This window comes from Homo sapiens, chromosome 14, assembly GCF_000001405.40.
Source record: "Homo sapiens chromosome 14, GRCh38.p14 Primary Assembly".
Taxonomy (NCBI): Eukaryota; Metazoa; Chordata; class Mammalia; order Primates; family Hominidae; genus Homo; species Homo sapiens.
The window spans coordinates 64,421,888-64,448,579 of NC_000014.9; the positions used below are offsets into that span (position 1 = coordinate 64,421,888).

Genomic DNA, 26,692 nt, shown 5'->3' on the forward strand with positions numbered 1-26,692 from the left:
GTGCTGGGATTACAGGCGTGAGCCACCGCACCCAGCAAGCTCAGTCTTTTTAAAACCTCGCATCTTCTGTATCATATTTCTGCTTTTGGCATTTTTTTTTTGGATTACATGTGAGAAATGGAGAAGAAAAACCTGAGTGGGGATCTTGAGTGTTGCAGATAGGTAGGAAATGTTGACTTAAACATGAAACTTGCCATCCTTTTCACATTGATTCCTTATGTAGACAATAAAATATGAATAAAATCAAAGCAGTATCTTCCCTTCTGGTCAACAGTGTTTTTACTGATCTTGGGCATATAGGCAAATTAATGCTGATACAGCTGGATGTTATTGTGTTCCCCAAAGGATGGCAGAATCACTCAGTTACAGACCAGCAAATGGGCTGCAGGACCTAAAGACTGATATTTGCAAATGTTCACTTTAGAAGCAAACTTTTCTACCACCGAGCTACTTCTTGGTTCATATTTTGATTATTTAAATAGTTTGCATGGTCCACTCAGGGATAACATTGTAAGTCACTTGCCAAATTAAGAATGAATCAAGGTGTGTATACCTTTTACAAAGAAGTAATATTTTTAAAGATTCAAGTGCAGGGCAGAAAGTATTGGCCAGAGAAACACATAAAAGTGCTCTTCCTGCTTGGCTTACTAAAGATAAATTGAGAAGGGCCAGATCAATAGTGTTTTATTTGGAAGGGTTAAAAAGTGGGAACAGATTCCCCACCCTAATGCAATCCAGTCTCAACCTATCCAGTGTAGCTGCTTCTGGACTGGCCTCTATTATTAGGGTCCCCAAATTAAATGTAGAAGAGTCAGGGCTCAGCTGGATCTTTAGTTGATTTTTGTACATGTGATTTCCCAAAGAAAGAGAAATTCTAGGGCTGGGGGTAGATAACCAAAAGGTTTGCTCATTACTGAGGTCATATGCTTAGGCTGAGTAGTGGTCACTTTTTCCACTGACCACATCATCCTATCCACGAAGCACTGCATGTTTAGCAGTGTCTCGTCAACCCTGACAGTATTTGGTTTAGGAGCAAAACTGAACTCACCAGTGCTGCGTTTAGTCATGTAGTCAAAGATATGTGTCTCTTACCTGTGGGAAAACGAAAATGACTAACATTAACACGTAGAAATAGATGCAGCGGGTATTTCAAGCTAACTACAGTGTGAAGACGATTGAAACTTGTACAGAGGGCAAACCTCTATCTATATTTCCTTGGCATTTTGAAATGACTCTAGGGGCTGTAAGAGGAAATGTTCTGCCAGTTTGCTGCTTTATAATCTTCTAGAAACTTGAAACCATCCCAATGAGTTGTGTTGACCAGCTCCTTTTACTCCATATAAAAAATATCTTACGTATCTGTGGTGGAAAGAGAAACTCTTGCGTTTGGAGGCTGCTTTTTCAATTTCAGTAATGTACACATTTTCTCATTTTGCCCTCAGCAAATTTGTGATAGGTAGTGTTAAGCCTTCTTTGCATTTTGGACTTCAGATTAATATGGAGCCCACAGGAGCTGCAGAACTAACTTTTTTTTTTGAGACGGAGTTTCGCTCTTGTTGCCCAGGCTGGAGTGGAATGCTCACTGCAGCCTCCGCCTCCCGGGTTCAAGTGAGTCTCCTGCCTCAGCCTCTGAGCAGCTGGGATTACAGGTGCCCGCTACCAAGCCCAGCTGATTTTTTAATATTTTTAGTAGAGACGGGGTTTCACCATGCTGGCCAGGCTGGTCTCGGACTCCTGACCTCAGGTGATCCACCCGCCTTGGCCTCCCAAAGTGCTGGCATTACAGGTGTGAGCCACCACACCTGGCCCTAATTTTTAATAAAAGAGCTGATGCTACAGCTAATCTCTTTTTTTTCTGAGACAGAGTCTCGCTCTGTTGCCCAGGCTGGAGTGCAGTGACGCAATCTCCGCTCACTGCAAGCTCCGCCCCCCGGGTTCATGCCATTCTCCTGCCTCAGCCTCCCAAGTAGCTGGGACTACAGGTGCCCGCCACCATGCCCAGCTAATTTTTTTGTATTTTTAGCAGAGACGGGGTTTCACTGTGTTAGCCAGGATGGTCTTGATCTCCTGATCTGGTGATCCGCCCGCCTCGGCCTCCCAAAGTGCCTGCTAATCTCTTAATTCTGGCTTCTTGCCTCCACCTTGGAGCTTCTTCTCAGTTGTGGCGATCTGATCAGAGAGAAGTGGTGATGTCGCTAAAACTACCAGATGCAGCGCGGGAGCCTTATTGCTTCGAGGTCTAGGCCCGCCCCCAGCCCCTCCTGGAAGTGCACTGAAGCCAAGTGTAGGATGTTCTTTGTGTGAGTGAGCAATGATGCATCATTGGGTTTTGTTCTCTTGAATAGCTATTCTTTGCTGGTAAGATTTGTAGTTGTTCTTGTGTCCTTTTAAGGGAAGTGTAATTATATTCTTTGCCTTTAGCATACATTTAAGTAGCTGTGTCTTTGGAATTGGATGTTGAATTGTTCCTCCAGCTCACACATGGAGCTCACAAAATGCTGACAGTTGCTGTAGAAACGATATCTGGCAGCTGTGACAGAGTTGGATCTTTGTGCACCCAAAAAATTTCCTTTGTAGGCTTTAGCAAATTAACATTTTAAAATGGGTGCTCATTATATACTGGGTAGTTGGTTTTAAGAATAAAAAACAGTTGGTATTTTATTTGCCACCTGAGAGACTACAAAAGGATTCTCCAGGTTCTGTAAAACCACTTATGCATCTTGTGAATTTTTGCAGGTAAAATAATTTTCTCCCTAAGAAATAGCAAACATCTGTCATTCCATAGCTTTTAAGTTAAGTAGGCACTGGAGCCTGATGGGACTAACACACCCTACAATTCTGCTGAGTTTTTGTCGTAACTGATCACCAGGACTGTGATTCTGAGACTTAGTTTTGATTTCTCCCCCACTTGACCAGATGATAAAAAACCAAATGGGAGAAAAGTTGTGGGTGATGTGGCATACGACGAGGCCAAAGAGAGGGCGAGCTTCATCACTCCTGTTCCTGGCGGCGTAGGGCCCATGACAGTTGCAATGCTCATGCAGGTAATTGTGAATAAAAGTTTCTATAAGAGTTCTGAAAAGCTGATCGAGTTTTGGCTGCTTTTCTCCCCAAGTAGAAATGTCAAAAACCTACTCAGAAGTAAAGATGTGAATTTATTGAGAAAAAGGGAAGGGAAGAATAGAGAAATAAGATCAGGCACATTAATAGAGGAAAGTAGGGATGGCATAATTCCAGTCTGTTTTGGAATATAATAACTTTGAAAGAAGAAAAGTGCGATCACACTGGCTTGGCCAGGTCTGTTTTGGTTTGCCTTCCCTTTCTTTTTTTTTTTTTTTTTTTGAGACGGAGTTTTGCTCTTGCTGCCCAGGCTGGAGTGCAATGGTGTGATCTTGGCTTACCGCAACCTCCATCTCCCTGATTCAAGTGATTCTCCTGCCTCAGCCTCCTGAGTAGCTGGGATTACAGGTGTGCACCACCACGCCCGGCGAATTTTGTATTTTTAGTAGAGACAGGTTTCTCCACGTTGGTTAGGCTGGTCTGGAACTCCCGACCTCAGGTGATCCGCCCACCTTGGCCTTCCAAAGTGCTGGGATTAGAGGTGTGAGCCACCGTGCCCGGCCTGTTTTCCCTTTCTAACATGCACCAGCTGACAGGGGCCAGGCGAGCAGCCCCAAAGCATGTTAGGTGCCTCTTGACTCTTAGCTAGGATTGAAGCATGGTAATAAGTGGGTCTGAAGCAGTTCATTTTGTGATTGAACTGGAGTGACCTGGAGCTTGAAACTGAGGTGAGGATTAAAATAACCACCTCTTCTAAGTTTCATTTATTTCATTTTGCTTAGAGCACAGTAGAGAGTGCCAAGCGTTTCCTGGAGAAATTTAAGCCAGGAAAGTGGATGATTCAGTATAACAACCTTAACCTCAAGACACCTGTTCCAAGGTAAAAATAAAGTTTTACTGATTTAAAACTTTGTGAATTGTTGGTTTTTAGTTGACAGATACTGTGGGTTCACATATGCTCCCTCTGAAGGTGCCTTCAGTGGTTGGGGTTGGGTTGGGGGCTTGTTACTACTGTGGGATTAATTAAACTCAGTGGATAAACATTAATACCTATTTTCTATGTTTCCAAAGTGACATTGATATATCACGATCTTGTAAACCGAAGCCCATTGGTAAGCTGGCTCGAGAAATTGGTCTGCTGTCTGAAGAGGTAGAATTATATGGTGAAACAAAGGCCAAAGTTCTGCTGTCAGCACTAGAACGCCTGAAGCACCGGCCTGATGGGAAATACGTGGTGGTGACTGGGTATGCTTTTTATTCATGTTGCCATCCAAATCTTAGTATCAGTCCTGATACTAAGGCGTTGCATTTGCACTTGGCACATGTATGTAGAGGTGCCTTTAATTTGATTTTAGCATTTTCACCCGTATTTGATCTCATTTGATCCTTACAGCAATCCTGAGAGGTAGGTAAGAATAGATTATAATCATAGATGAGAAAATTGGTCAAGGTTATCCATCTAGTAAGTGGAAGAGTTTGGTCTTAAAACCCGGTCTTAAGATAGAATCACCTTTTGCTGTTGTTGTTGTTGTTGTTGTTTTGAGACAGAGTCTCGCTCTGTTGCCCAGGCTGGAGTGCAGTGGCACGATCTCGGCTCACCACAACCTCTGTCTCCCAAGTTCAAGCGGTTCTCCTGCCTCAGCCTCCCGAGTAGCTGGGACTACAGGTGCAAGGCACCACACCCAGCTAATTTTTGTATTTTTAGTAGAGAGTGTGTTTCACTATGTTGGCCAGGCTGGTCTCGAACTCCTGACCTTGTGATCCACCCACCTCAGCCTCCCAAAGTGCTGGGATTACAGGCGTGAGCCACCACACCCGGCCAGAATCACCTTTTTGAACCCAAAATTCATTAATTCGATGGATTTACTAAGCATTCATTTTTATTGCTGGGCTGAGGTTATATTAAAAAGCTAGTTTTTGAGAATATAAAATGAGAAATTAAAATTATAGCCGTGTCTCTACAAGATAAAGTATATTTGCTTCTTACAGCAAGAAGAGCTAAAATACAGGAATCATTTTTTTTCTTAAAGTTTTTTGGAAATTACAACTAAGACTTTTGAAAAAGATATCTTTCAGGGCTTTTGTCTTTCTTTTTCTTTGTCTTTTCTTTCTTTTTTTTTCTTTAAGAGATGGGGGTTTGCTCTGTTGCCCAGGCTGGAGTACAGTGGTGCAGTCATAGCTTACTGTAGCCTGGAACTCCTGGGCTCAAGTGATCCTCTTGCCTCAGCCTCCTATATAGCTGGGACTACAGGCATACACTGCTATGCCTGACTTTGTCTTTCTTAATCTTTAGATTACGAGTCATTCTCTAGGATCTGCTAGGTATGACTTAGTGATTCAGATACACTTAATTCTTTAAACCTTTTTCTCTTTTGCTTTCGTCTTGAAGAATAACTCCAACACCCCTGGGAGAAGGGAAAAGCACAACTACAATCGGGCTAGTGCAAGCCCTTGGTGCCCATCTCTACCAGAATGTCTTTGCGTGTGTGCGACAGCCTTCTCAGGGCCCCACCTTTGGAATAAAAGGTACTAGTGAGACTGGACCATGGGTGGTGACAGGGGACCTGCTTCTCCTTCAGTCCTCCCAGGCCCACGCAACCTATGATACTTATGGGGTCTTCAACTCATTTCAACACCAGGAATGTCATTCTCACAAACCTCTGTAGTCATGCTTTTGATGAAGGCTGTCATTGGATCTCCCCAGCTCCTGCTGTCACTGTTGGCCACTGCACAGGGATTCTCTGGGATGGGTGATATGTAGCTGGAGGTGCTTTTATTTGACCCTCATAGTCCACTGCTACAGTAACCATAAAGGTAATCATAGCTACTGATCATCTTACAGACACTCTAGAGACAATGACAAACCCCACAGATGTTTCACCTTGTTGGGAATAAGAAAAGCCTACCTTTATTGAATATATGCTTTGTGCCAGATATTGTGCTGAGCAGTTTTTGCATATTATTCTATCATCCAGTACGAGATAGTATTGTCACCATTTTAAAATAGCAGCAACTGGGACTTCAGAGGTGGCTTGGTCAAAGGCACCTGTATTAAGTACCAGAGTGATTCTTCCATGTCTATTTCAAGCTCTAAATTACTACCATACTCGCACTTTACCTTCAGATTTTTATTGCTGCGGTACTAAGAACATGTGTTTTTTTTTTTTTTTTTTTTTTTTTGAGACAGGGTCTCACTCACTCTGTCGCCCAGGCTGGAATGCAGTGGTGTGATCTCGGCTCATTGCAACCTCTCCACCTTCTGGGTTCAAGAGACTCTCCTGCCACAGCCTCCCGAGTAGCTGGGATTACAGGCACGCATGACCATGCCTGGCTAATTTTTGTATTTTTGGTAGAGACGGGGTTTCACCATTTTGGCCAGGCTGGTCTTGAACTTCTGACCTCAAGTGATCTGCCTGTCTCAGCCTTCCAAACTGGTAGGACTATAGGCATGAGCCACCGTGCCAAGCTGCTGTCTTAATTAAAATAATGTTTATTAATTATGATAGGTTCTTAGAGTTAGCTTTCTCTGCTTGGTGAGGGTATCACATTTTGCTTGTTCTAGCAATTACTACAAATGTTGACACCGGGAACACCTTCACCCTTCCACCTTTTTTTTTTTTTTTGGAGACACAGTCTCGCTCTGTTGCCTGGGCTGGAGTACAGTGGCACGATCTTGGCTCACTGCAACCTCCGCCTCCTGGTTTCAAGCAATTCTCCTGCCTCAGCCTCCCAAGTAGCTGGGACTACAGGTGCGTGCCACCATGCCTGGCTAATTTTTGTGTTTTTAGTAGAGATGGGGTTTCACTATATTGGCCAGGCTGGTCTTGAACTCCTGACCTTGTGATCTGCCCACCTTGGCCTCCCAATGTGCTGGGATAATAGGCATGAGCCACCGTGCCCAGCCCACCCTTCCACCTATTTTATAAATGTAATCACTTTGTTCTGCTCTTGAGCTTGTCTTAACCCCCTTTCAACTTCAGCACGAGCTATTCCTTGTTCTGCTTATTGAACCCATTATTTTCCTTTTACTCTTACTGCAAATTGCCTCACTGCACGGTCTCTGCCTCACAAAAACAAAATACATATTAATATATCTCTGGGCTGGGTGCAGTGGCTCATGCCTAAAATCCCAGCACTTTGGGAGGGTGAGGTGGTAGATTACTTGAGGCCAGGAGTTCGAGACCAGCCAGGCCAACATGGCAAACCCCGTCTCTATTAAAAACACAAAAATTAGCTGGGCATGGTGGTATGTGCCTGTAATCCCAGACCATTACCCTCCAGCCTGTGAGACAGTATGAGACTCTGTCTAAAAAAATATATATCTGATTTACATTTATTGCACTGATAATGTGGTAACCTGGACTTTTTTTGTTTGTTTGTTTGTTTTTTTTGAGACAGAGTCTTGCTCTGTCTGGAGTCCCAGCTCAGGCTGGAGTGCAGTGGCATGATCATAACTCACTGCAGCCTTGATCTCCCAGGCTAGGACTATAGGCATGAGCAGCCATGCTTGGTGTCCTGAACATTTTCAACTGGCTTTTGGCTAATACAGATTGAGCATCAGAAATCTAGAAACCTGAAATCTGAAAGGCTCCAAAATTCTAAACTTTTTGAGTGCTGACACGATGCTCAAAGGACATGCTCATTGGATCATTTCAGATTTTAAATCCTGGATTTGGGATGCTGGATCAGTATGATGAAAATATTCCAAAATCTGGAAAACAAAAACCCAAATCCAAAACCCAAATCCAAGCATTTTAAATAAGGGATACTCAACCTGTAATCCAAGTAGCCCAAAAAAATCTAGCAATTAGGCTGCTTTCTAACAGCCTAATCTATTTATCTCTATTTAGGAAAAATTATAGTCTTTTTGTTAGGTGTATGTATTTTAAATATTTCTGTTTTAAAAGCCAAAGTAGCTTTATGAGAGTAGGAAATTGAACAGGTTGCCTTTATGTAACTGTCAGCTGGGTGTTTTAACAAATGCCAGTAATTACAAGGAACATATTTCTAAAGATAATGAGTAGGTATATATTTGTTCATGGTTTTGTCATTTAAACTCAGATTTCAATTGAGAGACTAGTATTAGAAAACACTTGATCAAAACTGTCCAAATGATTCTAAAAAATAAATAAATAAATGTGCTTAGTAGTTACAATAATGCATTTGCATTTATTTGATTTCTAAGTCATTGGAGAAGCATGCTTAACTGAGCTTCCACCCTTGACCTGTCCCCTAGGTGGCGCTGCAGGAGGCGGCTACTCCCAGGTCATTCCTATGGAAGAGGTAAAGTATTCTGGGATTTGGCTGAATTAGATCCCCCTTTTTTTGTCGGGGGGGAGGGTGCTGAATTAGCTCCCTTTTTTTCCCCATGACGGAGTCTTGCTCTGTTGCCCAGAGCTGGAGTGCAATGGCGCAATCTCGGCTCACTGCAACCTCTGCCTCCCAGGTTCAAGCAACTCTCCTGCGTCAGCCTCCCGAGTAGCTGGGATTACAGGCATGCACCACCACGCTCAGCTAATTTTGTATTTTTAGTAGAGACGGGGTTTCACCGTGTTGGCCAAGCTGGTCTTGAACTCCTGACCTCGTGATCCGCCCACCTCGGCCTCCCAAAGTGCTGGTATTATAGGCGTGAGCCACCGCACCCAGCCTAGATTCTTTATTATAGCTTTTTCTCTCTGGAGATTAGCCTTTTTTGTAGAGCTCTTAGCGGACAAATGACTTGTTTCTCAGCAAAAGCAACACCTAGGGGGAAAACAACTTAATTTGCAGACTTGTGATACAGCTTGGTTTCAAACTTTGGCTTTCAGTGGGAATGATTATTATAAGCAAATGACCAAATGAAGCATGGTATCGGGAAGCACCAACACACAGCGATTTCAGAATTCATTTATGTAACTGCAGAAATTGGAACATTACATAGACATAGAGTCGGTGCTGCTCCCGTGCACTCCTCCTCGCTGTTTTGAGGTGTGTCCTCAGTAACCCAGTGTGGCTGTTGATCCCAGTGGTGTGGTATTTGTGGTCTCTGGACATCTCATTTTGGAAAAACTGCAAGTTCTGTATTTGGGAGGAGATTCTTCTGTGGACAGATAATTAGTCTTTTATGTTTTCTTTTTCTTTTTCTTTTTCTTTTTTTTTTTTTTTTAAGACAGAGTCTCACTCTGTCACCCAGGCTGGAGTGTAGTGGTGTGATCTTGGGTCACTGCAACCTCCACCTCCCAAGTTCTCCTGCCTCAGCCTTCCAAGTAGCTGGGATTACAGGTGCGCACTACCACACTTGGCTACTTTTTATGTTTTTAGTAGAGATGGGGTTTCGCCATGTTGCCCAGGGTGGTCTTGAACTCCTGGCCTGAAGTGATCCGCCCGCCTCGGCCTCCCAAAGTGCTGGTATTATAGTTGTGAGCTACCACACCCAGCCAGTCATTTATGTTTTCAAGAACTCCCTATATTGGGTGTTTGTCCACTAACTGGGCTGCCTTCAGTATTCCATTGGCTTTAAAATAGGGATTGAGCTTTGCAATAGAATGAAAGTTGGAAAGATACAGAGCAGCTGGGAGACTAATGTGGCTTCTGTTCTTTTGTAGTTTAATCTCCACCTCACAGGTGACATCCATGCCATCACTGCAGCTAATAACCTCGTTGCTGCGGCCATTGATGCTCGGATATTTCATGAACTGACCCAGACAGACAAGGTAGGATGCCAAAGCCCCATGAACCCCATTGAACAGTTTTGAAAGTATTGAACCATCTGAATTAGTGTTGGTGTCTTGGGTGCTGAGGATGCAGGTAGCAAAGCAGTGGGGCTCCTCTCATTTTAAAGCCCCTTTCTTTTCTTTAAGGCTCTCTTTAATCGTTTGGTGCCATCAGTAAATGGAGTGAGAAGGTTCTCTGACATCCAAATCCGAAGGTTAAAGGTAAGCTTTTTTTCTTCCACATTTTTTATATTGTATGGAATCTGGAATCTGATCATTGATTAGGACATAAAAGTCTTCTTGGAGTAGCCTATTTTAGATGAAGTTACATCAGTAATCATAGTCTTAAAGTCATGATATACATAGCAAAGATGGATGGTAGAGGTTATTTCTCATTTATCTATAGATTAGAAGTGGCTAGTGTGGAATAAATAGAACACTGACAACCTGCCCTCAGCTAAGAAAGAAACGACACTTCCTTTATAACATGAACAAGAGTCAGGATGTCACTGTGGCGGCATAGCAGCCTTTGGAGTTTGCATCATTGGGACCTTAAGCAAATTTGTTAAATGACTTGTTTCTCCGCTTACTTGTCTGTAAAATAATACTTGCCTTGCCCTGAATAGATAAGGGTCTGTGTTAAACAGTTAAAACCATAGTTATATCTATATTTTATTTGAATTTCTGTAACAAATACATAGTTAGTAAGCATACACCATACCACCTGACCCAGAAATCTCACCCAAAATAAATGAAAACTCTGTTCACATAAAAATCTGTACATTAATGTTTTTAGCAGCTCTATTAATAATTTCCAAAAACTGGGAACTAATCTAAATGTCTTTCATTGGATGAATAAATAAACAAACTGGTACATCCATCCAATAAAAATAAATGAGCTATTGATACAAGCAACAACTTGGATGAATTTCAGTGGCATTATGCTGGGTGAAAGAAGCCAGTCTCAAAAGCTTGCATATTGCATGCCTCCATTTATATGATATTCTCAATAAGAGAAAACTATAGTGCTAGGGAACAGATCAATAGATGTTAAGGGTATGGATGAAGGGAGGGTATGACCATAAAGGAACAGCAAAGGAGAGGTGTTTTGTTTTGTTTTTTGTTTTCTTTTTTGAGACAGCGTCTCTCTCTGTAACCCGGCTGGAGTGCAGAGGCACAATCACAGCTCACTATAGCTTCCACCTTCCAGGTTCAAGCAATCCTCTCATCTTAGCCTCCTGAGCACCTGGGACTATAGGTACACACACCACCACACCTGGCTAATTTTTTATTTTATTTTTTTGTAGAGACCGTGTCTCACCATATTGTCCAGGCTGGTCTCAAACTCCTGGTCTAAAGCGATGGTCCTGCCTCAGCCTCCCAAAGTGTTGGGATTACTGGCGTGAGCCACCACGTCTGGCCACAAGGGATTTTTTGTTTTTGTTTTTCTGTTTTTTAATTTTTCAAAAATTTATTGGTTGGTTGTTTGTTTGTTTGTTTAAGACAGAGTCTCACTCTATCTCCCAGGCTGGAGTGCAATGGTGTGATCTCAGCTCACTGCAACCTCCACCTCTCAGGTTCAAGCAGTTCTCCTGCCTCAGCCTGAATAGCTGGGGTTACAGGTGCCTGCCACCATGCCCAGCTAATTTTGGTATTTTTAGTAGAGAGAAGGTTTCATCATGTTGGCCAGGCTGGTCTCGAACTCCTGACCTCAGGTGACCCACCCGCCTTGGCCTCTCAAAGTGCTGGGATTACAGGCGTGAGCCACTGTACCCGGCCTGTTTGTTTATGTTTTTGAGAAAAGCTTTTACTCTGTCACCCAGGCTGGAGTGCCGTGGTGCAATCACATCTTACTACAGCCTCAACCTCCAGGACTCAAGTGATTCTCCCACCTCACCCAACTAGGTAGCTGAGACTACAGCCAGGTACCACCATGCCCAGATTTTTATATATTGTGTAGAGACCGGGTTTTGCCGTGTTGCCCAGGCTGATCTCAAGCTTCTGGGCTCAAGCAATCTGCCTACCTTGGCATACCAAAGTGCTGGGATTACTTGCATGAACCACTGAGCTCAGCATTTTTTTTTTTTTTTTTTTTTTAAGAGATGAGGAGGCCAGGCGTGGTGGCTCATACCTGTAATCCCAGAACGTTGGGAAGCTGAGGCAGGTGGATCACCTGAGGTTGGGAGTTTGAGACCAGCCTGACCAACATGGAGAAACCCCATCTCTACTAAAAATACAAAATTAGCTGGGCATGGTGGTGCACGCCTGTAGCCCCAGCTACTCGAGAGGCTGACACAAGAGAATCGCTTGAACCTGGGAGGCGGAGGTTGCAGTGAGCTGAGGATGCCCCACTGCACTCCAGCCTGGGTGACAGACAGAGACTGTCTCAAAAAAAATTGGGTTTGTGTTTTACAACACTTCTTGGTCACTATGATACTATGATTATTTAGGTCTAGGCTTAGGGAAATCTTCTGGTGCTCAGTTATAGGGACAAACATGTTAATAATACCTTTGTACATGTGTGAGTAATGTGAATTTGCAGATATCGGGATAAAATCACTTTTGTCAGACCCAGAAAAAACAGGGCTGGGAAAACATGAAGAAGAGGAGGCTTACACTTACGTGTCTGTGATAAGAACTGTTTGCAAGGCCTGTAATCCCAGCACTTTGGGAGGCCAAGGCAGGAGGATGACTTGAGCCCAGCAGTTCGAGACCAGCCTGAGCAATGAAGCAAAACCTCGTCTCTACAAAAAAATTTAAAAACGAGCCAGGTGTGGTGGCATGCACCTGTAGTTATACCCAGCTACTCGGGAGGCTAAGGCAGGAGCATCCCTTGAACCCAGAAGTTCAAGGTTGCAGTGAGCTATCATTGGGCCACTATAATCTAGCCTAAGTGACAGAATGAGACCTCATCTCAAAAAAACAAAAGCAAAAATTGTTTCCAACAACTTTATAAAACCCCAAAAGAAATCCCTTCACGTCCTTCACACATCTCCTGCTTTGCACAGCTTGCACATTTCAAATGTATACTTATGTTTCCATGACAAGACTTATCACTAGACATTCTTCAGGATGGGAGTAATTCAGATAAGATGCTCTTGAAAGTACACTTATCCAGCAACGGCAACTGCACCAATGAATTGACAACTCTGGCTTTGAGCTTCTGGGAGCGATGAATTCTGTTTTTTTTTTTTTTTTGAGACAGGGTCTTGCTCTGTCACCCAGGCTGTAGTGCAGTGGCACAATCATGGCTCACTGCAGCCTTGACCTGAACTCTCTAAGCAGACTACGTGAAGCTCTCCCTCTTTTCTTTTTTTTTTTTTTTTTTTTTTTTTTGAGATGGAGTCTCACCCAGGCTGGAGTGCAGTGGCGTGATCTTGGCTTACTGCAACCTCTACCTCCTGGGTTCAAGCAGTTCTGCTGTCTCAGCCTCCCAAGTAGCTGGGATTATAGTCACCCACCACCATGCCCAGCTAATTTTTGTATTTTTTAGTAGAGACAGGGTTTCACCGTGTTGGCCAGGCTGGTCTCAAACTCCTGACCTCAGGTGATCTGCCCATCTCAGCTTCCCATAGTGCTGGGATTACAGGCTCAGCCACAGGCTGAGCTTCACGCCTAGCTGAAGCTCTCCTTCTTTGCTAGTAAAATCTTCCCTTCCCTCACTAGGCATATTTGTGGCATCCCAGGTTATAATCCTCGTTGCTCATTCCTGAATAAACTCAACCTACTTGGAGATAATTTTTTGTAATGTCTTTCTTTAGGCTGACAGTAGGAAATAACCCCCAGCTTTCAGTTTTTCCTTCTGAATTTAAGATGGTTTGCATTTCCTAGAGGGGATCCCATTTAGAGGTAGGGGTCAAAATTTTTGTCTTACGTTTATTGTGCTTCTGTTTGTCTTATTTTATGTTTTCATTTTCCTACACTTTCAGAGACTAGGCATTGAAAAGACTGACCCTACCACACTGACAGATGAAGAGATAAACAGATTTGCAAGATTGGACATTGATCCAGAAACCATAACTTGGCAAAGAGGTACCAGAGCAGTATACAAGCCCCGTTTGTTTTGGCTATATTGCACACCCTACACCCTCCAGAAGAGTTGTTAAAATGTGAGGCTCAGAAGCTTCCATGTTGGTATTTTACCAGCTAAGGCATGACCAAGATGGTGACATTATTTCTTTTTCTTGCCACCTCTCTCAGTATCTCTCCTTATTAGCTATCATCAAATCTCTTTGTTGGATTGGTCGAACATTTTGCTGGCTATTCAGTGTTGACTGAAATTAGGGTAGTTAAACCAAAAATCACATTTTACAAATTTAATTTTATGCAAAAAGTTTTAGTGTCATGAAGTAGAGAAATTATGTTTAATCACTTCTTGAATCATGTGTGACCTTTATTCTTAGAACTCTTGTGTGGCATAAATGACTTGATTTTTTTCTGTAGTTCTCTAGCTTACCTAATCTTTTTTTTTTTGAGATGGAGTCTCGCTCTGTCGCCCAGGCTAGAGTGCAGTGGCACAGTATCGGCTCACTGCAAGCTCTGCCTCCCAGGTTCACGCCATTCTCCTGCCTCAGCCTCCCGAGTAACTGGGACTACAGGCACCCGCCATCATGCCCGGCTAATTTTTTGTATTTTTAGTAGAGACAGGGTTTCACCATGTTAGCTAGGATGGTCTCAATCTCCTGACCTCATGATCCGCCCACCTCAGGCTCCCAAAGTGCTGGGATTACAGGCATGAGCCACCGCACCCGGCCTACCTAATCATTTTTTTACCTCATTTTATTAAATTCTCTTATAGCATATTAGGTAGCCTTCAAGGTTTAAATACTTACCAGTTCAGTAAGTAGGTTTCCTGGCTTCACTGCCATATGCTACTTTTCTCAATGCACAACTAGTGTAGCTTAGATTTCACTTTGCATCAACAATGCAACCTTCTATTCTGTATCACTATTGAGAAAGAATCTTCATCCACTCATGCAGAATAGAGCTGAAGGCCAGTTTATTGACTGTTTTTGTGATTTTCCTTGACTCAATAACCGTTGCTAGCTAATGGCCTTATTTAGATGACACTCTCAATGTCTAAAACCACATTGGAATTTCTCTTCCTTTGCTTCAATAGCTTTAGACAAATGGTATAATATTTTATAAGGAATAAGCTAAAAGTCCATTTTGAAGATTTAGTATCCGATTTACTTTTCTTTTGCTTCGTGTCTCATTCATGTTTTCTAAGCAACTAGAGGCAGTCATACCTATTGACTAGCTATTTTTTACAGAAATATTAGTTACATGAAACCTGATACTTTTTTCTTTTGAAAAATAAGGGTTGGCTTTAACAACACATTACAGCAAGAGTGGGGGGTGTGTGTGTCTGATTGCTATATAAGACACTGCTTTTGGTATGAAATTATGACAGTCTTTATGGAAAATAATTTGGCATATTATCAAGTGCCTTAAAAATGCTTCTCCTCCTTGACTCATTTAGAGTATGAACTGGGTTTTTTTGTTCATTTTGTGTGTGTGTGTGTTTTTACTTTGAAATTATTTTAATTTTGAAATAGAAAACATCTTGAAAAAAAAACCCACAAAATATATAGGCAAATTTGTACTCTGTGAGCTTCTCACATCCTTACACTGCTTCACCAATCTCTAAGATGAAAAACTCTGTTCTAAAACATATTCAGCCATCAGCAATGATGTTATTAGTAGGAATATGGATCAATTTAATTTTGTGTTTCTTTGATATTGTTTGGCATTTGATACTGAAATGGCAACTCCTGTTTCCTCTCTATACTCATAGTACTCTCAGCACCTCACTTCTGACACCAGATGGGTAGTTTTTCTCTTCCACAACAATTCAGCTTTCACTTCTCCAGTGGATATTGACTGAGTATCCTATGATTTAACTCAATTCTGACACTAACTGTCTGGAGCAGATCCTACAGGTAAAGGGCTCAGTCCTAAAAGACTGCCCCACTTCAGACACGAATCGCAAGTCCAGGTTGTCACCTGTGCTTCTGACCAACTGGTTATAAACTGGAGGGTCCCCACAACCCCCTGCTCAGGTTCATTTGCTAGAATGGCTCACAGAACTCAGAGAAGCATTTCACTTGTGTTTATGGTTTATTATAAAGGATACAGCTCAGAAACAACCAGATGGAAGAGAAGCGTAGGGGGCATCACTCTCCCAGCACCTGGATGTGTTCACCAGCCCAGAGGCTCATCAAATCATGTTGTTCAAGAGTTTTTTTTTTGAGACGGAGTTTTGTTCTTGTTGCCTAGGCTAGAGTGCAATGGAGTGATCTCAGCTCACTGCAACCTCTGCTTCCCGGGTTCAAGCGATTCTCCTGCCTCAGCCTCCTGAGAAGCTGGGATTACAGGCATGCACCACCACACCCGGCTAATTTTGTATTTTTAGTAGCGACAGGGTTTTTCCATGTTGGTCAGGCTGGCCTCGAACTTTTGACCTCAGGTGATCTGCCCACCTTGGCCCCCCAAAGTGCTGGGATTTACAGGCGTGAGCCACTGTGCCCGGCCTGTTCAAGAGTTTTATACACCCCTAACACCTTACCCAGAGGTTGGTGGGTGGGACTGAAAGTTCCAGCCCTCTAATCATTTGGTCTTTTTGGTGACCATTCCTTTCCTGAGGCTGTCTAGGAGACCTACCATAAGTAACTTATTACCATAAACTCAGGTGTGATCAAAAGGAGTTTGTAATGAATAACAAGACACTCCTATCACCCTTGGAATTCCAAGAGCTCTGTGAGCCTTTTGTCAGGAACCCATGACAAAGGTCAAATATATTTCCTATTACACTACACATACCAAAAGCCAGAACTGAGGGTACACTAAAATGTTAACAGTAGTTAGTCCTGGGAGGTCGTTAGTTGGTTAGTTGCTTGGTCTTTGCCATGTTTTTTGTGGTTATATAATTGGATAGATATTCTGTCATCAGAATAAAAATTCTCTCTGCTAAGTGTGCTATGTTTCCTAAATTTCCAGACCAGGCCTGGCACCCAGCGTGTTTCAAAAGATATTTGCACTTGCCCTGATTTGATGGCTCCTGCATTTCTTACGGTGGTGGAAAGTCAATGAGTCATCATCCCACAGAACAACAACACAAACCTCAGTCTTTTGAAAAAATGTAGACTGCTCTGTTTTTCTTATATGTGGAATATGCTTTAAAATAGATTCCAGATTTCTAGTTAACTGTTTGAATTCTCTAGATGGGATAAAACCAAGCCATTCCACATTCCTTTGCTGTAAAAATAACTCCTGTGTATTTATGGTATATGAACATCATTTCTTAACTTTAACACATATTCTAGCTTTGCCATCCATTTTGAAATATTGATAGACAATCATGAAATTAGACTTATTGCTTTAAAACTCTGCTGCTTCCTTTAACTTTGTGGTCCTTTTACTCAAAATCGTTCTATATCTTGCCTGTCTGCTGTAGTGTTGGATACCAATGATAGATTCCTGAGGAAGATCACGATTGGACAGGCTCCAACGGAGAAGGGTCACACACGGACGGTAACAATTTGTCCCTTTCCAAGGAAATTAGTTCAGAGGCACTAGATCTTGCTGCTTCTCTCCTCCTCCATCCTCTCTCATACGACTGATACTGCCAGGTGTTGTTCTGCCTTCTCCCTTTTAAAATGGAAGTGAGTAGGTGTGTGGCATTGAGCACTCCTGACAGCTTTTGCAATAAATCCCATGTGTCACCTGTGTGTTTTTCCCCCGGCATTTTTTCCTGGAGGTGGAGAGCCCCAAGTGAATATCCTTGCATAGAAATTGATTAAAATTGCTTCTTTTTTGTGGCCATTTCACTGTATATCTCCTTGGTTTAAGAGGTACCATATTATTCCCTTGTATATGAAAGAAACAATAAGCGCATGATTATAAGCGGCCTTCATAGGGATAAAATCATAGCTTTTTGGTCCTACTATAACATTTATTTTAAAAAACTGACAACTCAGGGCTGGGCGTGGTGGCTCACGCCTGTAATCCCAGCACTTTGGGAGGCCGAGGCGGGCGGATCACTTGAGGTCAGGAGTTCGAGATCAGCCCGGCCAAACCCCATCTCTACTAAAAAAATACAAAAACTAGCTGGGCATGGTGGCACGCGCCTGTAATCCCAGCTACTTGGGAGGCTGAGGCGCGAAAATTGCCTGAACCCAGGAGGTGGATGTTGCATTGAGCCAAGATTGTGCCACTGCACTCCAGCCTGGGCAACAGACCGAGACTCTGTCTCCAAAAAAAAAAAAAAAAAAAAAAAATGACAACTCAGGGTCTTGGAATAATTAATTAATATATTTTTTTGCTATTAGAGGATTATTTTCATTAAGTATTTTGGGTAGTATTCTGTTATTCTATCCTTTTAAGCTATTTGTTTAAGCCTCAGATGTAAAAGAGGATCACTTTTGCAATTCACACTTCTGGTTTAACACAAAGTTTTTGCTAGTACCTCTTTTCCCTGCCCACAGGCCCAGTTTGATATCTCTGTGGCCAGTGAAATTATGGCTGTCCTGGCTCTCACCACTTCTCTAGAAGACATGAGAGAGAGACTGGGCAAAATGGTGGTGGCATCCAGTAAGAAAGGAGAGCCCGTCAGTGCCGAAGATCTGGTGGGTACCCAGACACGCCAGGCTTGGCGACATATCTGTGTCTGTTGTCCTAGGGTCTTTCAGCAGTTATTAATAACAAAATGTAATGCTGTACTTAAGACATTGCAATTAATTCATCAATTTAATCCTATTTTGCTAATTACAAGATAATTATGAAATGTTTAAAAAGTACATCAGAGTGAATAATAGCTGGTATGCTTTAGTAATAGATCACAAGTTCCAGATGATTTGAGTAACATCTTCATCCTGTGGGCATCTCTAAAAGTGGGTGTATGACTTCAATTTGCAGAGAACATCAAGAGTACCATTGCTTTATCTTTGTTGCTAGGTAGTTCAGCTACACTTTGATGGCTTAATAGAGTGACCTGATGTTAAAAGTTGGTATTGAACTCTTGCGTAATATTGCAGTTTCAGCTTTGGAAGACACATATTGAGTTTGGTATTTATAGAAATTTCTGCCCAGATACCAGAGTTACAAATAACTGAGTACTCTGGGAACGAGCATTGTCGTGCTCTAAAATAGTCTAGAATGGATTTCTCACATCAGTCAGCAGCTGAGCTTGATTAAGATGCTTGTTTCTAGAGTTACATGTTTTTCCAGATATTACATGTGAATGTCATTTGTATTCTATCTGGCAACTTTGGCCAGGCGTGGTGGCTCATGCCTGTAATCCCAGCACTTTGGGAGGCTGAGGCGGGTGGATCACAAGGTCAGGAGATTGAGACCATCCTGGCTAACACAATGAAACCCTGTCTCTACTAAAAATACAAAAAAATTAGCCGGGCATAGTGGCGGGTGCCTGTAGTCCCAGCTACTCGGGAGGCTGAGGCAGGAGAATGGCGTGAACCTGGGAGGTGGAGCTTGCAGTGAGCCGAGATTGCACCACTGCACTCCAGCCTGGGCAACACAGCCAGACTCCGTCTCAAAAAATAAATAATTTAATAATTGGCAACTTCATAGCATATCCAGAAAAAAACCATGAATGGTCCAATTCAGGTGAAAGTATCAATTGGTCCAAGATGGCTAACATGGGTAAGCCTAGAATGTCAAATATTGGTTTCAGAAGGTTGGGTTTTTTTGCTGGTGGGAGTTGATGCTGCACACATTTGTTTTGTAGGGGGTGAGTGGTGCACTGACAGTGCTTATGAAGGACGCAATCAAGCCCAATCTCATGCAGACACTGGAGGTGAGCAGAGTGACTCCTGCCTTCTTGAATTGGTTTTGGACAGTCAGAGCAGAGTGGTTATAAAGCACACTTGCAAGGCGCGGTGGCTCACACCTGTAATCCCAGCACTTTGGGAGGCCAAGGTGGGCAGATCACAAGGTCAGGAGATCGAGACCATCCTGGCTAACATGGTGAAACCCCGTCTCTACTAAAAATACAAAAAATTAGCCGGGCATGGTGGCGGGCGCCTGTAGTCCCAGCTGCTCGGAAGGTTGAGGCAGAATGGCGTGAACCTGGGAGGCAGAGCTTGCAGTGAGCCGAGATCACGCCACTGCACTCCAGACTGGGCGACAGAGCGAGACTCCGTGTCAAAAAAAAAAAAAAAAAATTAAGCACACTTAACCTGGGTAGTCAAGACCTTCTCCACTTGCTCATCTCTTTCTTCTCATTCTTCCTCACACCTGTGACTGGGACGTTACTGAAATAAAAGAGATGACTTTATATTTTCCCTCTGGGAAGTATTCTTCCTTCCGATTCCAAATCAATTCCATACCGTTGAATGTGTGATCCCACTTTGAAGCAGGATTGGCAGCTCAGCTCACGGTGTCCTGGTTTCCACAGGGCACTCCAGTGTTTGTCCATGCTGGCCCGTTTGCCAACATCGCACATGGCAATTCCTCCATCATTGCAGACCGGATCGCACTCAAGCTTGTTGGCCCAGAAGGGTTTGTAGGTTAGTGTTTTTTGCAAAACCAGTGAATAGACTGTATGTTTCTTTTAACATCAGGGGAATTGGGATGGCATTTTTACTGTTGCTTTCCTCTTTACAGTGACGGAAGCAGGATTTGGAGCAGACATTGGAATGGAAAAGTTTTTTAACATCAAATGCCGGTATTCCGGCCTCTGCCCCCACGTGGTGGTGCTTGTTGCCACTGTCAGGGCTCTCAAGATGCACGGGGGCGGCCCCACGGTGAGTGGTGGGTTGAAGTATCTGATTATCGGCAGTGTGCTGACGGCCAAAAGGAAGTTGGATGACTTCTGCCTGTTTCTTCATTGAGTTGCTCTTATCCTCGTGATTAACAGGCAGCAAAAGCAAGGGACGGGCAGACAGCCCTTGTGTTGGCTGCCTTATCACTCACAGGCACCGTCAGCGCTCAGCATTTTAAGAGGGCCAAAATCGGCTGCCTGGCCTACCTTTCGGAGGACATCTGACAATATCTAAACCCCTCCAAGGACGTGTACTCGGCTAGCCCCACAAAAAACTGTTTTACGTTCAGACTGTTCTTTTTAAATCTGCATCCCTCTGTATAGTGACACTGGCAACCAGCCAACCAAACCAGTTAGCTGAGACAGAGGTCAGCCCCTTCTTGAGTATACTGTTCATGCTGGACAGGGCCTCCACACCCTAGGGAGGGAGTGGGGGAGAGGAGAATGGCAGATCTGCCCAGGGCTGCCCTGGGTAACAGAGAAACAGGTGGAGACTGGCTCATCCTCACCTCCAGCCTGAATTTTGTATTTCTCTGAATTCCTACTGCTTAGAAATTCCTACTACTTTTTATCCTAGTATTTTAACACCTTTTCTTTAGGGCCTACATGAAAAGACATGGTGCTAGGTTTTCTGAAATCATTTGAAAAACTATTAAATTCCTGTCCACCAGGAGCTTGTATTATAACTTAGGAAATAAGGACTCCCTGGCCTACAGGATAAAAATCAAATTTGTTTTGGTCAGGGTTTGTCCTAATGTAGCAGTTCTCTGTTTTGGCCTCAGAACCTCTTTACACTCTTGACAGTTATTGAGAGCCTAAAAGAGTTTTTGTTCATATGGGTTATAGCTATTGATATTTACCATATTAGAAATTAAAACTGAGTTACATGTAAACATAAAGAACTTTGTAAACATGAAAATGCATTATCTTTTCCCAGCAAAATTTAGGCATTGTACATTTTTCAGATCTTCTCTGGGTCTGGCTTAATTGAAGACAGCACTTGATCTGTTGTGACATCACATGTCTCATAACCTTTGGAAAAGTCCATTATATGCTCAATGAGAGAATGATAATGAGAGTAAAAGGGCCATAAGATGTTACAGAATCTTATGGAAATAGTTTTGACTTCATGGACCCCTTCAAAGGATTGGGTCCCCGGAGCACACTGGGAATGCTGCCATAACAACCCCAGCACCCCTATCCAGTCTTAGTTATCCCTGAGTGCCAAAGGCACTCCCAACCCAGCACACTCCTTTCTGCTAGTAGCACAGGATAGACTCCCTTTTTTTTCCCAGTCACAACTAACATTCCTCTCTCTTACACCCCTCACTCACCCTCACACCATCACACCTCCTTTCCTTGCTTCCTCCTGACCTCACAGTCAGGATAATGTCCCATAATGCTGTGCATGGAGGGGAACATTTGCACATATGGCTCTGTCAAGAGAGTAGGCCTCCTGCTCTCATTAGCTTGCTGACGGGAAGCTACCTGTAAGGTCCTTGCTTCTTGCTCTGCCTCCACACAGCCCCTTCTGGAGTTGGAGCACATAGTCTCACTGCAATGGAAGAGGGCAGAGCTTCTTAATCACTATCCACTGCCCATGGTGGGGCCCATGAAATGGACACCTTCACCCATTTGCTCATTTCTGTGGATGCAGCAGGGCTGAGCCACGGCATAGATCAAGACTGGGGGCTGGGGGGCGGGGCGGGGAGGCACCAGACACCTCCATCCTTTAGATATACTCTACAAAAGAGAAAGAAAATCCTTCTGTATTGTTTTCCCTCTTGTTTGTATTGACCCTGCACCACGGTTCAGCTCCACCAATGCTAGGTTGGCACTGTGGACCAGTTCATGAAACCATGGCAGGGCTCATCACGGGCTCTATCGACAGACATCCCAGGGTGACTTCCGCAGGCCCGACCGCTTCCTCTTTCCCCACACTCCCCTTGACTTCCAACCCCACTGCTATGGCCTTCACTCGAGTCACTGCACCTGCTTGGTACACCCCTTTCCACCTCTCCTGCCATCGATCCGGTCCTTCTCACCTCCTTAATTCAGGTCATAGAGGTCTTCCACGCTGCCCAAAGCAGTCGATTTTGTTCTGTGCTGTGTGATTGGTCACATACCCTAAGTCCTTAGGGCAGGAAATAATCTTATACTACTGTACAGCCTGCAAGCATTGCAGCGTCTTGCCTTTAACACATGAAAAGCACCATTTTAAGCTAGGAGATTTAAATAGGAAATGCCTCTGACTCTGTTTCTTTTCCTTCCAGGTCACTGCTGGACTGCCTCTTCCCAAGGCTTACATACAGGAGGTAACCTGAGTTATTTCTCATCACGTGTCCTAGAAAGCACCACACCTTGAATCAGCATTTCTCCACCTGGCCCATGTGGAAATGAATGGGTTATTGCTGTGACCCAGGGTGCAGGGTGCCAAAAGGCCTGCAGTGTGCTGAGGAGTTATATTAAATGAGTAGATAGGGAAGATGTACCTCACAAAATAGAATTGTCCCACATAGGGTGTCAATAAGCCACTGCCCTAGACCAGTGGTTGATTCTCAACAGCTGATTTTGACCCCGGGGACATTTGGCAATGTCTAGAGACTTTTTTTATTATTACAACTGGAGGTGGGGAGTGCTACTGGAATCTAGTGGGTAGAAACTGGGGATGCTGGCTAAACATCCTTTAATGCACAGGACAGCCCCTACAACATTATCCAGCTCAAATGTCGGAGTGTGAGGCTGAGAAACCCTGTCCTAGACTAATAGCAGTTCCCTTCCATTGTCTTCCCTGCATTGGCTGGGTAAGTTCCAAATGCCATTCAGATCAGAAGCAAGTAGAGACCTTTTTTGAAATGGCTTCTCCTCTGCCGATTTAAATCCATATTAACGGGCCAAGATATATGGTCAGGATTCTGGTTGTTTTTCTAGACAAAGCTTCCTGGATATTTATAGCATCAAACAGGAGGCTAGAGAACAACTGTGAGCTCAAATCTTTTCATATTTATGTCATTTACCATCAAAGAAACATCTCTAAAGCCAGTTTGGGGTGGTTACAGGAAAGACAGGCCATCAGATAAGGTGGCAAGGTCACCTGCTGTCACTGCTAATTCAATTTTTCTGCCTTTTTGGAAGGCTTTTAAATTATCAAGCAATACAGGGTCACTGTTCAGGCCCCAAATGAAGTATTTCAAAACTGGCTAGAAAAAATTGCTGGTACCTTCAGTCTGCCTGTCTTCTGAGTTATGGTTTGCCTTTTATGGTCATTTGTCTGATTCACGCGTAGGAGGGGAATTCACAGTTCTGGCCCTCCTGCCACCCCACAGCCTTTCCTGTGTCTAATTACAGTGACTGCCCCTAGCTGGCCCAGCTGGTGTCTTCATTTAAGAAATTCTACTTATTTAAAACTGTTCTTGATCAGCGTTACATATTAATTGGTTTTCATGTGACTAGAGGTAAAGAATTAGCAGTGTTCTTTAGAAGCTCAAATAAATCATAATCTCAGTTTTCAATTATTAAAGGAAAAAAGCATAAATCACATTTATAATGAACCTAGTTGTTTTCCACCTTTTATCCTACCTATTTCTGCTTTTTTGGGATCAACAAACATTAGTGCTGGGTTTTGCTCGATGATTCAGTATATGTATTTTTATAGAAGACTCTTTTATTTTTAAAATATTTAATGTATTGTTAAGCCTACAATAGTAATATACCCTTTGTAAAAAATAATAATTAAACATTATAAGAATGTAATATATGTGAGTTGAGTCCCCTTAACAGTTCGGTGCATATTTCTCGACATTTAAAAATTTTTCATGAATTATATACATGTATTTTTGTGTTTGTCCTAAAATGGAATAATTAAGCTCTCCATGGTTTTGCACCTTTAGTACATCTTGGACAGGTTCCATGTTAACACAGATGGGTCTCACTTTCATAACATCTGCATGATAAATATTTATTGAGTGTATATGTCATAATTCATTGGCCCAGTCCCCCTTGGAGGAGGTTTATGTTTATAATTTTCCAATGCTACAAGCAGGGCTGCAGTAAACATACTTAAAGATACATTTCCTTAATTGCTTCCCTTTAGTTTGTAGTACTTGGTTTTTGGTGGGTTTTTTTGTTTTGTTTTGTTTTGAGATGGAGTCTGGCTCTATTACCCAGGCTGGAGTGCAGTGGTGTGATCTCGGCTCACTGCAAGCTCCGCCTCCTGGGTTCACACCATTCTCCTGCCTCAGCCTCCCAAGAAGCTGCGACTACAAGCACCCACCATCATGTCCGGCTAATTTTTTTGTATTTTTAGTTGAGACGGGGTTTCACCGTGTTAGCCAGGATGGTCTCGATCTCCTGACCTCGTGTTCCACCCGCCTCGGCCTCCCAAAGTGCTGGGATTACAGGCATGAGCCACCACGCCCAGCCGGTTTTTGGGGTTTTTTTTACAGACAGGGTCTCACTCTGTCACCTAGGCTGGACTGCAGAGGCGTGATCATAGCTGCAGCCTCTAACTCTTGGGCTTAAGCAGTCTCCCCGCTTCAACCTCCCAACTAGCTGGAAGAACAGGAACACGCCACCACACCAGGCTAATTTTTTAATTTTTTGTAGAGACGGGGTCTCCCTATGTTGCCCAGGCAGGCTGCTGTCGAACTCCTAGGTGCAAGTGATCCTCCGATCTCAGCCTCGCAAAGTACTGGGATTACAGGTGTGAGCTACCACATCCAGCTCAGTTCTTTTTTTTTTTTTTTTTTTTTTTTTGAGACAGAGTCTTGCTCTGTCACCAGGCTGGAGTGCAGTGGTGCAATTTCAACTCACTGCAACCTCCGCCTCTGGGGTTCAAGTGATTCTCCTCCCTCAGCCTCCCAAGCAGCTGGGACTACAGGTTCCTGCCACCACACCTAGTTAATTTTTATATTTTTAATAGATACGGGGTTTCACCATGTTGGCCAGTATAGTCTTAATCTCTTGACCTTGTGATCCACCTGCCTCGGCCCCCCAAAGTGCTGGGATGACAGGCATAAGCCACCAGGTCCGGCCCTTTTTTTTTTTTTTTTTTTAATTAACTTCTCAGTTGTAGAGATGGGGTCTTGTTATGTTTCCTAGGCTTGTCTCAAACTCCTGGGCTCAAGTGGATTCTCCTGCCTCAGCCTCCCAAAGTCCTGGGATTACAAGTGTGAGCCACTGGGCCCAGCCACTGGCCTGATTCCTAAAGATAGTATTTATCTTATTTCTTGCCCTCGTTCACGGTCGAGTTCATTAAAACCTTTGAAAACATCACTGCTTACTTCATATTTCCTGGCAGTATTTACGGCAGCCATATAACGAATACCTCTTCTGTGCCAGCCACTATGTTGTTAGGCTCTGTCTTCTGATGGAAGGGTCTGTGCTGTGCAGAGTAGAGTTAATTTGTATTATCATAACCCTATGAATACATAAAATCTATAAACACAATTGGTAAATATAATTTGGGTAAGGGTAACTAATTCCTTTCAAACAGCAAATAAGCTATAATGATGTGGCATAATGACAGGAAACATACCAGCTCTTTTTTTCTTGAAGGCTGGGAAACAAGCAGAGCTCTACTCTAGTGTCATAGGCTGGAGTGAAAGCTGCAGTTCTCCATAGCATCCACTCACCGCACTGGAAAAAATGCACCAAGGGACCTTCTCTCTTCTTTCTTGGCCTCCTTGTCCTGATAGTGAGTGGCTGCTGGCTCAAGGAGGTTGTTTGCCTTTGAAGAAGAACCTGCAGTGGTTTTCAACTCTCTGATCTCATAGGCCTTTCACTGTTGTTTTTACAGAACCTGGAGCTGGTTGAAAAAGGCTTCAGTAACTTGAAGAAACAAATTGAAAATGCCAGAATGTTTGGAATTCCAGTAGTAGTGGCCGTGAATGCATTCAAGTAAGTGTAGAGTGTAAGCGAAAAGGATGAATGTGGAAAATCTCCTGGAGCTGATTGTACAGCACTGCTTTTAGCTTTATTTTGTTTTTCAGTTACTGCTATTGGTTATAGCCTGTGGTTTTAGCCTGCACTGTGACAGGCATTGCATACGTCACTGCGGGCTCACCACCTCACCCACTGAGGGTCCCAAAGTCAGATTCAGCTCCTATGGGCCCTTTTCCTTTCCACTGGGGGAAGTAACACACAAGCCTGAAGTTCAATG

General features: G+C 43.3%; 1 protein-coding gene across 2 annotated transcripts in view, besides 2 other annotated features; it reads left to right on the forward strand.

Annotated features, from left to right (window-relative positions):
* Positions 1–26,692, forward strand: part of MTHFD1 (methylenetetrahydrofolate dehydrogenase, cyclohydrolase and formyltetrahydrofolate synthetase 1) — a 71,673-nt gene that overhangs the window by 33,535 nt on the left and 11,446 nt on the right. For both annotated transcript variants that reach the window (NM_005956.4, NM_001364837.1), the window contains exons 9-23: positions 2,917–3,044; positions 3,843–3,940; positions 4,132–4,305; positions 5,450–5,586; positions 8,297–8,343; positions 9,645–9,752; positions 9,900–9,974; positions 13,682–13,784; positions 17,209–17,285; positions 18,239–18,379; positions 19,498–19,566; positions 20,167–20,278; positions 20,376–20,515; positions 22,806–22,847; positions 26,330–26,430. In NM_005956.4, the coding sequence (NP_005947.3) occupies positions 2,917–3,044; positions 3,843–3,940; positions 4,132–4,305; positions 5,450–5,586; positions 8,297–8,343; positions 9,645–9,752; positions 9,900–9,974; positions 13,682–13,784; positions 17,209–17,285; positions 18,239–18,379; positions 19,498–19,566; positions 20,167–20,278; positions 20,376–20,515; positions 22,806–22,847; positions 26,330–26,430 (1,552 nt within the window). The remainder of the gene's footprint in view (positions 1–2,916; positions 3,045–3,842; positions 3,941–4,131; positions 4,306–5,449; positions 5,587–8,296; positions 8,344–9,644; positions 9,753–9,899; positions 9,975–13,681; positions 13,785–17,208; positions 17,286–18,238; positions 18,380–19,497; positions 19,567–20,166; positions 20,279–20,375; positions 20,516–22,805; positions 22,848–26,329; positions 26,431–26,692) is intronic.
* Positions 8,164–8,458: an enhancer, noted in NCBI's record as "tiled region #9441; HepG2 Activating DNase unmatched - State 12:CtcfO, and K562 Activating DNase unmatched - State 12:CtcfO". NCBI's record gives its function as "activates a minimal TATA promoter and a strong SV40 promoter by Sharpr-MPRA in HepG2 and K562 cells {active_cell/tissue: HepG2 | K562}" and the evidence as "EXISTENCE:reporter gene assay evidence [ECO:0000049][PMID:27701403]".
* Positions 23,701–23,750: an enhancer, noted in NCBI's record as "active region_8532". NCBI's record gives its function as "activates an Ori minimal core promoter by ATAC-STARR-seq in GM12878 lymphoblastoid cells {active_cell/tissue: GM12878}" and the evidence as "EXISTENCE:reporter gene assay evidence [ECO:0000049][PMID:35858748]".